Source organism: Homo sapiens, chromosome 3 (assembly GCF_000001405.40).
Source record: "Homo sapiens chromosome 3, GRCh38.p14 Primary Assembly".
In the NCBI taxonomy this organism is placed as follows: Eukaryota; Metazoa; Chordata; class Mammalia; order Primates; family Hominidae; genus Homo; species Homo sapiens.
The window spans coordinates 153,756,438-153,775,159 of record NC_000003.12 but is presented as its reverse complement, the minus strand read 5'-3'; the positions used below and the strand labels follow the sequence as shown (position 1 = coordinate 153,775,159).

At 37.7% G+C, this 18,722-nt stretch overlaps 1 long non-coding RNA gene across 1 annotated transcript in view; it reads left to right on the top strand.

Moving 5' to 3' along the window:
• Positions 1–12,633: 12,633 nt before the first annotated feature.
• Positions 12,634–18,722, top strand: part of LINC02006 (long intergenic non-protein coding RNA 2006) — a 378,977-nt gene continuing 372,888 nt past the window's right edge. The window contains exon 1 of the long non-coding RNA NR_146713.1: positions 12,634–12,657. This is a non-coding gene — a long non-coding RNA (long intergenic non-protein coding RNA 2006). The remainder of the gene's footprint in view (positions 12,658–18,722) is intronic.

Here is an 18,722-nt window from a genome sequence, read left to right as displayed (position 1 = left end):
ATCACCTGAGGTCAGGAGTTCAAGACCAGCCTGGCCAACAGGTGAAACCCCGTCTCTACAAAAATACAAAGATTAGCTGGGCATGATGGCGGGTGCCTGCAAACCCAGCTACTCCAGAGGCTGAGGCAGGAGAATCGCTTGAACCCGGGAGATGCAGGTGGCAGTAAGCCGAGATCGAGCCATTGCAATCCAGCCTGGGCAACAGAACGAGACTCCGTCTCAAAATAAGTAAATAAATAAATAAATAAAAAATAACCCATATATATACACACATATATATAGTTTATATATACACACATATGTGTGTGTGTATATATGTGTATATATATGAAGAACAGCAAATTTCAAAGTGCTTGGAAATCTGTTAAATAAATCAGATAAATAAATGTATATATACTTGTATATGAAGATATAGCATATGTAAATTGATAGATACATATTGATATGTACATTTATTTATGTTTATATAAACAAGTGAATATATTTATTATTTGAACATTTATTTAGAAAATGTTTGTTACCCGATGGTATAGTACACTCAGCCACACACAGATTTTTGATATTTGAAGATTCAACATTTACTGTATGCTCTAGGACCTAAGAAATGCAGGGCAAATAGGAATTTAGTTCTGCCAATTCATGGATTTTCTTTGAACTTTAAAATTCTGATGTGTGTTAGAAAACTGTTTGGCTAGCCACTGAGCAACTAAAACACAATTTCATGCTTTACTTGTAATTGCGTATCTTCTACGTTACATATATTCTGTATCTTTATATTCCATCCCTTTTATATTACTTCATTTTAAAAGTTTACAATATAGACTTTTCTTCTTCCCGAAGAACAGCCATTAAATAAGATAAAGGAGCTAATAAAAGTGTAGTTAATTTTCTGTGTTAGGTTATACAGAGAAAAGACTAAGTGTTGATAAAGGAGTAAGTCAGGAGTTTATAAAGAAGAAATAGGCTAAGAGTTTACGAAGTACCTTTTGTGTTTTTCAATTTGAGGCATTCATCAATATATGGAATATATTCCTTAACATATTAAAAGTACAGAAATAAATATAGAATAAAATATGAATTGTACTTTATTGAAGAAATTTAAATAAAATGTGACAGAATTTTAATAGCAGACCATGTATTATATGAGGATTCCCATAATGTAAACACAAATAAATTTCTAAGGATTCTTTTAACATAATTAAGTCAATTATATTAAAATTATATGAACTTAGTGTTAATGTTTTTAAAACACCACATCACTTGGGAAGGTATTGTCTGAGACATTCCTGTAGAGGTTCATCTCCTCCCTTTTCTTACTCCTCTGTATAGTCTTTTTTTTTTTTTTTCACGTGGGGCTATAATTCTGAATACAGATCAAAGAACTTCTCATTCAGTTGCATACAACCGTTACAATTTTAACATGTCGTTTGCTGTCAGAACCCCTCTGACTCCCCTCCCAATTCACAACGAACAGCATTTAATACTGTGGTTACATTGGAGGAGGCAGTATCATTGCATCAGTAAATAACACTAGCAAAACCACTCAATTTACTTTTCTGTACTTTAAGTTGGGACATAATACAGATGCTTTAAACAATCACACAAATGATTAAAAAATATTATATATTTTACTTTTTTAGTGTATTTAGTACTATATCCCACTTCACACCTTTATGGATTACAATTTCATTGAGTTTGGCTATTATAAATATATCATTTGGAAAATAACTTCTTTCAGAATGCTTTTTCTTGCATTGAAGTTTTGCATATTTTTTATTTTAAATTTATTCTACTGATTATTTCATATGGAAATTTATGGTTCAACAACTTTTTATATGTGTTTCTAACAGCTTATTGTTGTGCTTGGAGGAATATTAACATACTATGAAATGTTTGTAGGCATATCAACATACAATCTTACGCTTACATATAAATGGTGTAAAATTTTGTATCCTTAAATTTTACTGAAGTTGTTTCTCAAAGTCAGGAGGAGTCTTTAGGATTTTCTAGGTATAAGATTATTTCATCAGCAAACAGATAATTATCCAATTTGGATGCCTTTTTTTCCCTTTCTCTTACCTGATTGCTCTGGGTAGGACTTTTCAGTACTATGTTGAATATTAGTGCTGAGAGTGGACATCTATGTCTTGTTCCAGTTCTAATGAGAATGCTTTCAACTTTTTCCCATTCAGTATGAATTGGGCTGTAGATTTGTCATAGATGGCTCTTACTATTTTGATGTATGTTCCTTTAATGCCTAGTTTGTTTAGGGTTTTTAGTGAAGAGATGTTGTATTTTATCAAATGCTTTTTTTGCATCTATTGAGATGATCATGTGTTTTTCGTTTTAAATTCTGTTTATGTGAGAAATCACATTTATTGATTTGCAAATGTTGAAACATCCTTGCATCCCTGGAATAAAACCCACTTGATTGTGATGAATTATCTTTTTGATGTGCTGTTGGATTTGGTCTGCTAGTATATTGTTGAGGATTTTTGCATCTGTGTTCATGAGAGATATTAGCCTGTAGTTTTCATCTTTTGTTGTATGCTTGCCTGAAGGAATAATTTCAGTAGGATTGGTACCAGCTCTTTGTATGTCTGGTAAAATTTGGCTGTGAATCCATCTGGTCCTGGGCTTTTTTTTTTTTTTTTTTTTTTACTGGAATTTTGTTTGTTACTGATTCAATTTCATAACTCACTATTGATCTGTTCAGGATTTTTATTTTTTCCTGGTTCAATCTCGGGAGGTTGTATGTTTCCAGGAATTTATTCATTGCCTCTAGGTTTTCTAGTGTGTTTGCATAGAGATTTTCACAGTAATTTCTGATGATCTTTTGTATTTCTGTGGTGTGAGTTGTGGTGTCTCCTTTATTATTTCTGATTGTGCTTATTTGAATCTTCTCTCTTTTTTTTTCTTTCTTAAACTATTAATACATATCAGTCTATCAATTTTGTTTGTTCTTTCAAAGGACGAGTTTCTTGTTTTATCGATCCTTTGTATCTTTTTTTTTCTTTTGGTGTGATTCTCATTTAGTTCTACTGTGATCTTTGTTATTTCTTTTCTTCTGCTAGTTTTGGTTTGGTTTGTTCTTTAATTTATTTTTAAATTATTTTTTGAGACAGGGTCTCACTCTGCTGCCCAGGCTGTAGTGCACTGGTGTGAACAGGGGTCACTGTAGCCTCTGCCTTCCAGGTTCAAGCGATTCTCATGTCTCAGCCTCCCAAGTAGCTGGGACTACAGGCGTGTGCCACCATGCCTGGCTAATTTTTTTGTATTTTTAGTAGAGATGGTGTTTTGCCATGTTGGCCAGGCTGGTCTCAAACTTCTGACCTCAGATAATCCACCCACCTTGGCTTACCAAAGTGCTGGGATTACAGGCGTGAGCCACCGCACCTGGCCTGGTTTGTTCTTTCTTGTGTAGTTCCTTTAGGTGTGATGTTAGGTTGTTAATTTGAGATCTTTCTATATTTTTAATGTAGGCTCTTAGCACTATATACTTTCATTTTAGTCCTGTTTTTGCTGTATCCCAGAGATTTTAATATGTTCCGTCTGTTTTCAATTATTTCAAAAAAATTTTCATTTCTGCCTTAATATTATTGTTTACCCAAAAGTCATTCAGGAGTAAGTTGTTCAGTTTTTATGTACTTGTGTGGTTTTGAGAATTCCTCTTGGTATTGATTTCTAATTTTGTTTCACTGTGTTCTGAGAAGATACTTGATATGCTTTCAATTATTTTTTTTGAATTTGTTGAGACTTGTTTTACGGCCAAGCACATAATCAACTTTCGAGATTGTTCCATGTGCAGATGAGAAAAATGTATATGAAATGCAGAATGTTCTGTGAATGTCTATTTGGTCTAGAGTCCATTTTAAGTCCAGAGTTTCTTTGTTGACTTTCTGCCTCAATGACCTGTCTAGTATTGTCAGTGGGGTTTTGAAGTTTGTTGATCTCTTTTCTTAAGTTTACTAACATTTGTATCATGAATTTGAATACTCTGGTCTTGGGTGAATATATAGTTAGGATAGTTACATCTTGTTATATTGACTGCTTTATTATTATATAATGCTCTCTTTTATCTTTTTTTTTTTACTGTTGTTGATTAAAGTCTGTTTTATCTAATACAAGAATAGCTACTGCTGCTCACTTTTTGTTTTCCATTTGTGTTATATGTCTTTTCCCTTCCCTTTAATTTGTGTCTGTATTCAGCCATTGTGTCTTTAGCCATTAGGGGGGTCTCTTGTAGGCAGCAGTTGGTTGGATCTTGTTTCTTTAATCCAACTTGCTGGTCTATCTTTTAAGTGTAGAATTTAGGCCATTTATGTTTAAAGTTAATATTGATATGTGAGGTTTTGTGCCAGTCATAGTTTCATTACCTAGTTTCTTAGAATTTCAAATGTGTAATTGCTTTGTAGGATCTGTGAGCTTTCTACTTACATGTACTTTTATGATGGTGAGTATCGTGCTTTTGTTTCCATGTTTAGAACGTCTTTGAGTATTTCTTGTATTTCTGGTCTAGTGGTGATTAATTCCCTTAGCATTTACTTGTTGGGGAAAGATTTTATTTCTCCCTCATTTATTAAGCTTTAGTTTGGCAAGATATAAAGTTCTTGGATGGCTTTTCTTTTAAAGAAGACTAAAAATAAGCTCCTAATCTCTTTTGGCTTGTAAGATTTCTGCCGAGAATTCTGCTGTTAGTCTGATAGGATTCCCTTTATAGGTGATCTGATGCTTCTCTCTAGGGCTTTTAAGATTTGTTCTTTCACATTTATCTTGGATAGTCTGATGACTTTATGCCTTCAGGATAATCATCTTGTGTAGTATCTTCCAGGTGTTCTCTGAATTTCTTGTATATATATGTCTACATCTCTGGCAAAATTAGGGAAATTTTCCTGCATTATTCCCTCAAAATATGTCTTGAAAACTTCTTACTTTTTCTTCTTCTCCCTCAAAGATGCTTGTAAATTGTAGATCTGGTCACTTCACATAATCCCATATTTCTGTAAGGCTTTGTTCAATTTTTTTAAATTACTTTTTTGTCTCACTTTTTTAATTTAAAAGATTCGTCTTCAGGTTCTGCAGTTCTTTCTTCTACTTTGTCTAGTCTATTGTTAAAGCTTTCAACTGTGCTTTGAAATTCCTTCAGTGCATTTTTCATTTCTAGAAGTTCTGTTTTATTATAAATACATACCTAGGCCAGGCACGGTGGCTCACACCTGTAATCACACCACTTTGGGAGGCCAAGGGGGGTGGATCACGAGGTCAGGAGTTTGAGACCAGCCTGGCCAATGTGGTGAAACCCCGTCTCTACTAAAAATACAAAAATTTCTGAGTGTGGTGGTGTGCACCTCTAATCCCAGCTACTTGGGAGGCCAAGGTAGGAGAATCGCTTGAACCCAAGAGGCGGAGGTTGCAGTGAGCCGAGATGGTGCCACTGCACTCCAGTCTTGGCAACAGAGCAAGACTCCGTCTTGGAGCGGGGGAATCTATATCTATCTTGACTTTCATCTCCTGAATTATTTTTCTGGTTTCTTTGTGTTGATTTCCATCTCTTCTTGGATTTCATTGAGCTTCCCTACAATCCATATTTTGAATTATTTATCTGTCATTTCAAAGTTTTCATTTTGGTTAGGTTCCATTGCTAGAGAGCTAGTGTGGTCCTCTGGGGGATGTCACAATATTCTGTTTCTTTATGGTGCTAGAGTTTGTGTGCTGCTTTCTTCTCATCTGTAGAAGCTGTCACTTCTTATTTTTGAATTTCCTTTCTTTTTTGCAGGATTTTTTTCCTTCCCCCTTGAGGGTGTGACTGTTGAATATGTTGAGTAGGGTCCTTTGGCTTTGCTTCTATTTGCTTTTAGGGGACCAAGGCTCTGTAAGAATTCCTTGGTTATTGATAGCAATAATGTAGTGGTTTTTTTCAAATGCTAGTTGTCTGTAGGTTGTAGTTGTGGTGTGCTGTGCATGTAGTCAGGCTCACTGTCTCCTACAGGGTTGGGGAGGTGGACGTCTTGGGAGGCTTATCTCATTCCCCAGCACTGTGCAAATCGGCCAGGAGAAATTACATTGATTTATGCAGTTCACCCTACAGGCCAGTAGGTGGTGCTTATGGCTTAAGCTGGCTGAACACTGTTCCATGACAATAGAAGTTGTGATGCACTGCACAGTTTGATCTCTGGGCCAGTAGGTAAGTGTTTGCAGGTGAGAGGTGGTTGCAGTAATGACAGTTGACTTTTTACTTGGCTTTTGTTAATCAGAAAAAGTACCAGAGTGTTCCTGGCAATGAGCAGGATATTGGGTTCCCAGAGGTACAGTTGTATGCTCTATCACCAAGGCAGCCGGAGGGGGGCAAAGCTAGGTGGAGCTGAGTCAGGAGAGCCTGCAACCAGGCTCTTTGAGGCAGGTGCAAGCTCTGACCTTGGCAGGGGTCCATGGGCATCTCTCAGGCCACTGGAGCAGCCACCTGAAGCGGGGCAGAGGTGCATCTCCTATACCACAGAGTTTGCTTAGGGGAAGAGGGGAGGCCCCAGCAGGTAGCCATGGGGCCCACCCGGCTCCCACATCCCCATCCTAGTGAGCCTCCACCTGGTGTCCAGCCATGGCAACAGATCTGACTAGTTAGGCTAGTCCCTACCCACCGGTACCCAGATCACCTTGCCATTCCAGGCATTTTGACCACCCGACTCCCTGCAGCAGAAACCACAGCTATCAAGCCACACCTTTTTCAACCAGGTCCCATGACATTAGCAGTGCTCAGTTCCAGTGCCACCACATTAACCTGCACCACACTCTGTGTTCTGACAGTGGGGTTACTTCCCCATTTGAGATCAAGCCACAGTTTTCATCAGCATACCCCTGGATGGTATGCTTGAGTTCCAGGGAACTGGGATCAGGCCAGCAGATTTGTCCTCCAGCCCCTCAGGATCAAGCACCGCCTGTGAACTGCTCCTAGGCCACCAACAAACCACGCAGGCAGAGCAATGAAGGCTATACTGTGGGCCCTCTCCTGAGGGTATAGCCAGGTGGGCAGTCTCAGGAAGAACTGGCAGGCATGAGGGTGCATGGTTCAGATGCACCCCAGTCCCAAGGCATTGGCATGGGGCCTGTCTTGGGTGTGTGAGCATGCCACAGCCCTGCTCTCTCCTGGCCAGGAGACAGCAGGAGCTGCAGCCACTTAGGGCAAGACACAGAGCCTTGGAGGGTGGGCTCCCAGAATTGTGTTTTGCTGCAGCTGCCCGGCATATGAACATTTTGGGTTCCACATAGGCTTAGGTAGTGTCTTGCACATTCTTCAGGTAGCTCCCCCTGCCAGTCCAAGACCTGTGAGTCACGAGAACTCTAGTAGCTAGGATCTCAGAGGTCCATGGCAGGAATGTGGTGCCCCAGGGTTCTTTCACTCACCCCTTCCTTGGGTCTGATCCGGGTCTTGGGGCTGGTCATCATACCCAGCGTTGCTGTGCAGGCAGAAACACTTCCTCCTTCTTCAACCGTGGTGCCTTCCATTGCCTTTCTATTAAATGTCAGTGTTTTCTCCCAAAAGATGTGTTCAAAGTATGAAGGTTTACTTGATAATTTGTTTCTTCTCCATGAAAAAGGCACATCCTAGCCGCATCTAGTCAGCCATCTTCTCTCTTTGACAGGTGTTTTTAATCTGAGTATTCATGCTCTCTTCAACTCTAAAACATTTTTCAACATTATCGCTTTAAGGGCCTCCCCTCATTTTCTGGAAGTTCTACAATAGTACTGGAAATAAGTTGGAACATCTAATTCTTTGTATGTTAACTTTCACATTTTCTTTCCCTTTTATTTGGCTATGCTGTATTCTGAGTAATTTCTTTATATTTATCAATCATTTTATCAATTTTCTCTTTGGCCAGTTCAACATAACTGCCCAAAGTTTTGAGTTTTTAATGAAAATGAACTATATTATTTAATTCTAGAATTTGCATTTTCTTCTTCAGATCTGACTCTTCTCTTTTCCCTATTATGTTTGTTCTTAAATTTTGGTTATGTTACTTTCACCTCTGAATATTTTACATCTGTTTCTTAATATCTCTTTTAGATTTGTCTAAAATGATTGATGGGACATGAATTTTTCCATTTTTGTAGCTGCAAACTCCAGCCTAAGCAATGTTTTTTTGTGTGTACATGCTGGAATTTGTACTATGAGCTCATCCGTGGGAGTTATTTTTTAATAGGAAGACTGAGTGATCTGAGTTGTGAGACTGTCCTTCCAGCTTTTAGGTAAATGTCTTGGCTCTGTGCTTCCCATACTGGGTAAATGTGCAAATTCAGACATGGCCTCCACAAGTTTGTGTTTTCTATTTCCTGCAGGTTACAGTTATTCTTCCAGAGATCCATAGAGATCAGACACCTTTTTACCCAAAGCCAGTGGCAGTCTCTCCAGCCTTTTAAAATGGACAGGATAGCTCTTTTTTTTAATTACTATTATACTTTAAGTTTTAGGGTACATGTGCACAACATGCAGGTTTGTTATATATGTATACATGCACCATGTTGGTGTGCTGCACCCATTAACTCACCATTTAACATTAGGTATATCTCCTAATGTTATCCCTCCCCCCTCCCCCAACCCCATGACAGGTCCTGGTGTGGGATGTTCCCCTCCCTGTGTCCAAGTGTTCTTATTGTTCAATTCCCACCTACGAGTGAGAACATGCGGTGTTTGGTTTTTTGTCCTTGCGATAGTTTGCTGAGAATGATGCTCTCCAGCTTCATCCATGTCCCTACAAAGGACATGAACTCATCCTTTTTTATGGCTGCATAGTATTCCATGGTGTATATGTGCACATTTTCTTAATTGGACAGGATAACTCTGGCAGATTCTTCTCTTTATGTATAAATCTCTTCTCTTTATGTATAAAACTTTCATCTCCTATGCACCAGGCCTATAGACACCCTAAGCATCTCACTGAAGTTGTCAAAAATCCAGGCATTTAGAGATATATCAAATTAGGATGTTCTATAAGACATTTGTTTTCATTCTCACTCAATAGTGCTTTAAGTTTTCTCTTATTTTCTAGTACCAGGGATATCTCATTTTTAGTTTTAAGCTTGGCTTTGAATTTAAATTTTAACTGTTGTATTTTATTAGTAAAATGTTCATGGATCATTTCTACATTTGAAGTGGGAGGAAAGATCTTCTACATTGGCTAATTTGCCATATTGACTAGAACTTATTTGAGTTTCAAACATGTCAGTTTTTCTGGTTATTGCTTTTGCTTCTATATCTTTAATTTTTTAAAAAAGAGTCATTATTTCACCTAGCTTTACCTACCTCTGAATATTTTTTTCTCCTTATAAGCTTTCTGTTTCATAGAGATTTGCTCTTTTTTTTATCCTACTGAGAATACCAAGCTTATTTTAAAATGCTCTTCTAGTTCCTATAGTAAATATTTTTCAGAAGTCTGTACTTCTTTTTTGCTTTAGCGTGAAGTTTTCTTCCCTTTCATCTGCAGTAAATTTTTCATGGGTTCTGTACTAGAGTCTTTTTCTGTTTGACCCTCTAGGCCACTCTTTATTCTTTTCCATCCTTTGTGCCCTCACAGTGTGCCCTGTGAGGCTAATATCCATGGACTGCACCAACAAGCTGGAGAATCCTCTGGCTTCCAGTTGAGTTCAGCAAATGGGAGCACCAGCAGGAGACTGGAGGGCAGGAAGAGAATGAAATTAGAATGTTTATTTCCCTTCATCTATTATTTCCAGCTCCTTGAGACTTGGGAGGACTCTTGTGAGGGGTCCTTTGCATATAGATATCCTTTCTAGAACTGTTCCTTGACCTTGCCCTTTCAGACTTGGGGCAGAAACAACTCCCTGTGGTTGCTAACCCTGGAGATCTGCACCATCTATACCTTTATAAATTATTTTTTTGTATCCAGCTTATTTATTTATTATTTTTTGCCGAGTCCTTGATTAATAAAGGTTTCATTTTGGATTTTATTTTTTGTTATGATTTTCTTCATTCTTTATACAGAGGTGATCTATGTATATAGAGCAGCCAAAGAGTATATAGAATGTCCTTGGCCATAGTCTGTTAAAATGTGTCAATTTTGTTTTACAGACTCATAGCTTGAATTTATTGCATTCATATTGTATGGCTTTGTTAGATTCAAATAGAAATTTCTCCTGTCCCATTGTTTGGCTCTCCAGTACTCTTCACTGCAATATGCAATGTCAATTGAGCTACACATATTTAGCTAGCCAAGTTGATTTTTATGGAAAGGGAATAGAATGGCACATATGAATTCAGAATATATTCTATTTGTCTATATGCATTGTGAAATGATTACTTAAAGAGGTACTTCATCTGTCTGAGAGGTTAAGACAAAGAGGACTTAAGACTGAAAAAGTTAGACTATAAAAAGTCTTGCAGAAGCATTCTGCTTCCAGTAGGGCCAAATAGCTCTTATCAGACCACTCTTCCTAGGGTTGATAAAAACTATCAACCATTGAAAAACCACATATAAAACAACCATCTTATGACATTGGAGAGTGAAAAAAAAAGCAGGCAGAAATTAGAAGGGAGATGACACTCTAACTTAGGATTAGAGGGGAGATGGACGAAGGGAACGAAGTCTGGTGAGATTCCTGTTTTTGAAATGTCTACCCTGGGGGGAGGCCCCAGTTTGTACTTGTAGAGAAAAAAAAAAACTGATGAAAATCCTACAAGTTTGCTTGATTAACCAGCAAAGAGAGTTCATCAGTCAACCACAACCACTGAAAATCAAGGGGGGACATACTAGAAAAGGAGAAAACTAGAGAGAGGGTGTATTAGTCTATTCTCACACTACTATAAAGAAATACCCAAGACTGGGTAACTTATAAAGAAGAGAGGATTAATTGACTTACAGTTCCACATAGCTGGGGAGGCCTCAGGAAACTTCCAATCATGGTGCAAGGTGAAGGGGAAACAAGGACCTTCTTCAAAAGGCAGAGGAGAGAGTGTGTGAAGGAAGCAAAGGGGGAAGAGCTCCTTAAAAATCCATCTGATCTCATGAGAACTCACGCAGTATCCTGAGAACAGCATGGGGGAAACTGGCCCCGTGATCCAGTCACCTCTCATCAGGTGTCTCCCACAACACCTGGGGAATACAACGCAAGATGAGATTTGGGTACTCGGCTGATGAAATAATCTGTACAACAAACTCCTGCAACACAAATTTACCTGTGCAACAAACCTTCACATGTATCACCCAACCTAAAATAAAAGTGTTTTTAAAACAGAGAATACTTTCGGCTTAACAAGTCTAGTAGTGCACTCACCATGAAAATAATTTAGCTACTGTTATTAAGTGCTGTACCATTATAATTACCAATCACCAATTATTGATTTCAGAGGTCATGATATACTTGACATTGTAATGTGTTCCCTTATAGACTTGATTTGGGTGGGGACACAAAGCCTAACCATATCCGAGGGAGCCTCAGATTCTGAATATAAACTCTGCTCAAATTTCTGGCTGCCCAGCAAAGCTAAAAAAATTAAACTGAGATATAAGGTGCTGCCCACAGTGAAAAGACTACATTTTGCAGTTTGTTTTCAAACTACCTGCTTTAAAAATAATAAGTTGAGCGAAACTCCATCTCAAATAATAATAATAATAAGTTAAATAAAATATTTTTAAAAATTTGCAGTATTTTCTTAGTGAACTTTGCAATATAGGACAAAGCTTACCTGTGTGAGGAGTGTTTCCTTCTCTTTAATTCTTTTTCTTTTTTGTCTTCCTCTCCAATTTTTTGATGCTTTTTTGTGAAACTCCATCCATCTTTCCACAATTCACATAAAACCTCTTACCTCTTTTCCTACCTTGTACCCCATTTAGTCATTACTTGCAAGGTACAAAAATACACTGAAAATAGCTCAACAGAAAGGGAAGATAAGTGTTGCTCAAAGCAGAGAAATCCAAGACAGAAAGTAGAGGTGAGCTTTGTGCAGATTGAACCTGAGTATAAGAAAGTCTTCGGATCTAGAAAAATGGATATCTTTCTCTTTCTGAAGCTACATGGTCTTTTGCCTTTGTTTCTCTTTGAAAGTGGTCCAATATTGCAACCCTCGGAAGAGAAATCTCTACCCTTGAGTATACTTGGCCTGCACAGTAATATGATTCATTTTCTGAGGCCAGTTTCCAAGAAAAATTGAAAATCAAAAACAAGTAAAGTTACTTTATATATGGGCCAGATTTGAGTTCTGATACTAACAGCTGGTCCCATCAGCAGTGGCTGGTGAGATATTCATGGGGTGGGGAGTGCAGTTGAAGGAGAATGAATGAATGAATGAGTAACATGGTTCCTCCAACTGCAGGCCTCTGGGCTGCCAAGGTTTTCCAAGAAGACAGGCAAATTGTATGTGAAGTATATCACCATACTGCTTTCCACAATGTTTGAACTAATTTACACTCCCACCAACAGTGTATAAGTGTTCCCTTTTCTCTGCCACCTCACCAGCATCTGCTATTTTTTTATGTTTTAATAATAGCCATTCTGACTGGTGTGAGAGGTATCTTATTGTGGTTTTGATTTGCATTTCTCTAACGATCAGCGATGTTGGGCTTTTTTTCATGTGCTTGTTGGCTGCATGTATGTCTTCTGCCAAAAGCATTTTCTTTCTCCATCGTCAAAAGCAGAGTTGCATAGATCAAGGTAATCGTCACTTTGATTGCTAAGAAACCTAGGTCATGATTTTCTTTACATTCAAAATTTGTATAATGTGATTTGATTCATTGTCTCATTTTCTAGTGGTGGTAATATAAATAATGGTAGATTTTATTATTAAATAGGTTCTTCCTTTGTATTATTTTCCATCTAAAACCTTTTAATAGTCTTTTGTTAATTATACTAGATAGGTAGGTAGGTAGAGAGATAGATAGTATCCTTTATCTACTGGGAAGCAGTGCTCATACCCAGAAGAAGTCTATAAGGGAACACATTACAATGTTAGCAATGATTATCTTTAAGAGTAAGATTTGTAAAGTATTTTTTCACTTAAAAAAAGTGTTAAAAATTTTGTAATTAATTTGTATTGCTTTACTAATAGAAAAATTAACTTTGTAAAACTAATTAATTCTAAGTGCACAAGGGAAAACATTGTTTTGTAAACAAGAACTGTCGGAAGAAAGAAGTGATTAGGTTATGTAAACATCTAAGTATAAATGAGAAAAGCACAGAAGTAAAAAATCAGGCCAACTTAGAGAAAAGAGACTGCTACAAAATAGCAAATAAATTTGGAGTTACAATAAAAAGAAAAAGTAAGAAATAAAGGTCAACATAAGAGACAATAAAAGAAAACTAGAAGTAGTTTTTGAAATATATCCTTAAATACATGAAACAGAGTGGCATTAAAACTGCTTCTTCAACAAGAAGATACAGAAAGCTTCAAAAATTCTGAAAAGGTAAAAATTTTTTTGGATTGATAACCTATATATTAAAAAGAACTCTCAATGACCTGGTCAGGGTGATCAAAATAAGATAATGTGAGGAAGTAAAAATAATTTTGATTTGATTATTTAATGATTATTTAAATCTTTTCTCTGCTGAAAGTCCAGGAGCAAGAAGGAAGGGAATCAGAATATAGCAGAACAGTGATTTCTACCTGCTGGCCTGGAAGCAACTGGGACTGTTGTTTGATCAAGATTTTATTAGTTATTGTTAGTAAAGAGAGAAAAATAAGAAAAACATAGTGAGCTTCATATTAAGGTAAATTTATCCAATTTATGTGAGATTATATCCTTATTAGATTTTCATTATTAAAATCTTCTCTTATAACATGACATAGATAGTAGATGGTTGTAGGATTTTTGACGTACTTTCAGCAAAAAGAAAAGCTGGAAATGCTTTATCACCTTGAATCTTACAAATCTGTTAGATCCAAAAGTCAGAACTACGGCTTTAAACCATTGTCATTGTACTCATCATTTAAGAGACCTTAGTTCACTTGAACAAGGAGACATATGTCCCTAAGCAGGAACAATGCAAGACCTTATGTGGGTGTGTGGCATAGTGAGTGTCACAGACCTAAGCTGGGATGACTAAGAAAGGTCTCAAGATGGAGGTGAGATCAGCCTGTAAATTATACCATGGGTAAGAGTTTTTTTGTTTTTTTTTTTGTTTGTTTTTGTTTTCTTTTTTGAGACTGAGTCTCACTCTGTCATCCAGACTGGGTGCAGTGGCGCGATCTTGGCTTACGACAAGCTCTGCCTCCCAGGTTCACACTATTCTCCTGCCTCAGCCTCCCAAGTAGCTGGGACTACAGGCGCCTGCCACCACGCCCAGCTAATTTTTTGTATTTTTAGTAGAGACAGGGTTTCACCATGTTAGCCAGGATGGTCTCGTACCATGGATAAGATTTTAAGTGATGATGACAGAGAGGAGGGTACTCTGGAAAAAGAAAAATGAGAAAACTGAGTTTAGAAGGCACATGACATGCAAAGGTTATGAACTGAAGATGTACTTATTGGAAATGGTAGAAAAATAAGTAGTAGAGTTGGTCCAGTTTGAGAAAAGTCATGCACCCCTGAATGAGTGTTTGGTTTTTATCTGTTAAGGGTTGGAAGCAATTTTAAAGAAAGGTGAAGGGTTATTTTAAATTATTATTGTAAGATTTTGTCTATTTTTTGGAGTTTTGCTGTTTTAAGTATGTATCTAGGTTTGAATTTATTATTAATATTCTGTTTAGGACCTGTTGATCTTGAATATATGGTTTTATATTTTAATCAATTTGGGGGAATTCTTAGCCTTGGAAACATTAATCTTTTCCCATTTTCTTTACACTTTTCTTCCACAACTCCTAAGAGACATATGTGAGAATATTTCATACTATGCTTTGTGTCTTTGAACTTAATGTCTGGCCTGTAGAAGTGCTCAATCGATGTTCAAATTGGTCTTGCTGTTTGAAGATGCCCTGCAGAGCAGTCCTGCGTTTGCAGTTGTTAGGCCAAACCTGAGGCCCAGATCTACTGTGAAGTGAGCCTGGTGTTACCAATTTCTGTGTTTTCTTTGGTTCCCAAGTGTTGCTGTCCCATGGTTCAGTAACTTGTCATACATCCAAGGGCCCAGTGTGGAGAAGCACAGCATAAAACGAGAGAGAAGCATACGTTTGAGGGTCTGAGGATGACCCAATAGGAGTCACTGCAGGTTCTAGGCTCACTCAGGGGATTAAGTTATTGTTTCTCTCTACCTTTAACATTCTTTTCCAGACACCAACATTATTTCATCCTTCACCTCTTTCAAGTCTTTATTCAAATGCTATATAGTGAGAACTTTGGTAGATACCCTATTTGAAATTGTGACTACTTCTTATGTCAATTTCTTGTTTTGTCAGGTAGTTTAAATGTGAATCTCAAAACTGCATGAGGTACAGCACTGTGGTTACAGGTACTAGGGGAGACTTTTTCTTCCACCCTTGTGGAGACAGGCAAAGTTCTTTGTTATCTCCCATTAATGGTGGTTGCAATTTCTCTCATCCTTCCTTTTACTAAGAATGTAGTTTTTTAGGGAGGTAATTTGCTAGGGCTGCCATAATGAACTATTGCAGATCAAATGCCTCAATCAACAGATATTTATTTTCTCACAGTTCTGGAGGCTGGAAGTCCTAACTCAAGATGTTCGCAGGTTTGATTTCTTCTGAGGCCTCTCTTCTTGGCTGGCAGATGGCCACCTTCTCATTATGTTTTCAGGTGGTCTTTTCTTTGTGTGTGTAAGTCCCTCTCTCTGTGTCCAAACTTCCTAATAAGGACACCAGTTAGGTTGCATTAAGATGCAACCTAACAGCCTCATTTTAAGTTAATCACCTTTTTACAGACTCTATTGCCAAATATAGTCACATTATGAGGTACTAGGAATTAGGACTTCAACATATGAATTTAGGGGGATACAATTCATCCCATAATGGAGCAGGAGAGGAGTCTCAGCTTTATTTGCAATCTGTTCTCCACCTCCCTGTCTTGAGTGGATGCTTTGCCTTGTTTTGTGCTTTGGCATGGGCTTAAAAAAACCTTAAATTCATTGTTCTAACCAATCAAACTCCTAAAGATTCCTGAAACTTTAGCGTATTGCTTATCTGGTTTGCAGTGACCTCTTCATTTTAGCCTTCTGAGGATTTTTCATTACATTCTCATGGTTTCACCTATATGTCTACAGGGACATTTACTATATATTTTTTCCTCTCATATTTCTAGGTGTCTTATAAAAGGGGTTGGTTTAAATATTTCTTATTTAATCCACCCCATTGCTGAAAATTAAAATTAGAATTAGTTTATAAAATTATTAGTTGACAATAGTACAAAGCAAGAATAGAAAGATAACTCAGTAATCTTCCAGCTACAAGGCTAGTTTAATGAACCTTTTTTGACTTAGTTTTTCATGCTTAGTCAGAAATTAAGACATTTAACAGGCCCGGTGCGGTGGCTCACGCCTGTAATCCCAGCACTTTGGGAGGCCGAGGCGGGCAGATCACGAGGTCAGGAGATCGAGATCATCCTGGCTAACACAGTGAAACCCCGTCTCTACTAAAAAAATACAAAAAATTAGCCGGGCGTGGTGGTGGGCGCCTGTAGTCCCAGCTACTCAGGAGGCTGAGGCAGGAGAATGGCGTGAACCCCCGGGAAGCGGAGCTTGCAGTGAGCCGAGATGGCGCCACTGAACTTCAGCCTGGGCGACAGAGCGAGACTCCGCCTCAAAAAAAAAAAAAAAAAAGAAAAGAAAAGAAAAAAGATATTTAACAAAGTTAGAAATGTTATGAACATACCCCGTGGGTATGAGGGAAAGTGATGGAGGAAACATTTTCTTTTGAGGAAAAATTAAGCTGAAATAGGAACAAATTTTTCAGGGGGTAAGGGGGAGGTAAGCGCTTGGTATTAGTCTATTACCAGACAAAGCAAATTCACAGCTTTGATTTTCGCTAAAGAGGGCAAAGGGGAGACGTTTTAACCGAGCTTATAAGACCGAGATATGATGTATATCTCCTATTAATATCTACTTAAATAGGAACTGTCTACTTTTATAAACATTAAATTAAACTTCTAGGAAAATCTAACAAGTTATCATATTAAGAAATTTTGAATATATCCCAGTGCAGTACCACTGTCAGCAAGAGCTAGTCTGAGGAAAAGTGAGACACTCCTGGTAGTTTAGCAGAATACAGATTCCTGAGGAGTGATAAAACTTATAAAGAATGTCATGTTTTTACAAATACAATTTTATGCCAGTGTTAAAGGTCTGTTAATCAGTGCATTGACCAGGTTATTTTATTCCTTAAGTCACCAAAGAGTAACAGATTATTTAGGGAAATTTGTTTTTAAAGCATTGAATGCAAAATTGCAAAATAAAGGTGGAAGCAATCTTGTCTTTTTTTTTTTCAAATATCTCTTCTATGCACATTTATTTGAAAATCAAAACTGCTTCCATGAAAACAATAAATAAATACCACTATGGCATGTTACTTAGAGCTGAGAGACAACGTCCTCCTGCATAAACGAAATGAAAAAAATTAAGAGGGCAGGTAGATTTCCCCTTGACTTTACCTACTACGTGGTTTGATCAACAAGGAATTTAATTGTCAGCTTATGACATATGAATAAACCATTGAAGTCATTAAAGAACTATCAGTTAGTTAACACATTATAAAGCTGGGAGGGAGTTGAAGAGATTTTCATATTCAGGTCATATATTTAGGTAGATGAAATCAGGAATATCCAACTAGCTGGGATCACATCATCAATCATGTAGCTGATACTATGGCACAATGTGGCAGTGTCAAAGATTATAGGTCCCACCAGGGGGTAGGAGATGTATCTGGAAACTCTGGAAACTGCTACCACATACTTCTCTTTCTTTTATATACTTTTTGGGAAGCCATCCATTTTTTCTCTCTCTCTCTCTCTTTCTTTTTCCTATTTGTATTATAAGGAACTCCCACTAGCAATTTAAAGCCTCCTGGCTTTTGTCTAAGATGGAAGAATTTATAGCAGACAAAATGCTCCCACTGAGAACAATCAGAAAATGGATACAATGTATACACACATTCACTCAAATTCAACCTGTCTGAGGGTGTTGTGGAGCTTCTCAGAAGCCAAGCCAGGACTTGGCCCAGTATTTTTGAGATGAACAGCTCACTGAGGAGAGTCCACAATGAGTAATGTGGACTGAGTAATGTAGCATTACTCTTGGGGCATGAGCCAATTCTTAAGCTTGGTGCAGTGAGAGTCTGAGGGCAAATGCTAAGGGGCAAGAAACCCAGCAGAATTTTGAGCAATTCCATGGGGCTTGGGAAACAAAAATAGAAGTAGAGACCAGTGATGGCAGGACTTGAGGTCCAAGATTCTGGAGATAAATGAAGTACAGGGAGATGTCTTGGGAGTGATAAAATATAAGTGGCTATTTGCCCTCCAGGTATTTTTTTGTGTGTAGGCTACATAGATCAAGAAATCCAAATCTAAGCAAAAAGTGGAAATCCAGCAAAGATGTCAGCAGTGTCACTTTTTTGCTAGTAAGACAAAAATTGGAGTAAAGAATATCCCAAAAGGAGCCTTGGTAAACATCCCATACTCTCATTAAGGAATCCCTGGGGAGAAGGGTGGTGGTCCTACATTCGAGGAGATAGAATGAAGCCTTTCAATATCTGACACAGTCTCAGTCAGTTACATTGAGAAAACCTCCTAGCATTCCAGTTGTCTGTCAGAAAATGAGATGAGTGGCTTCTGGAGGGATAT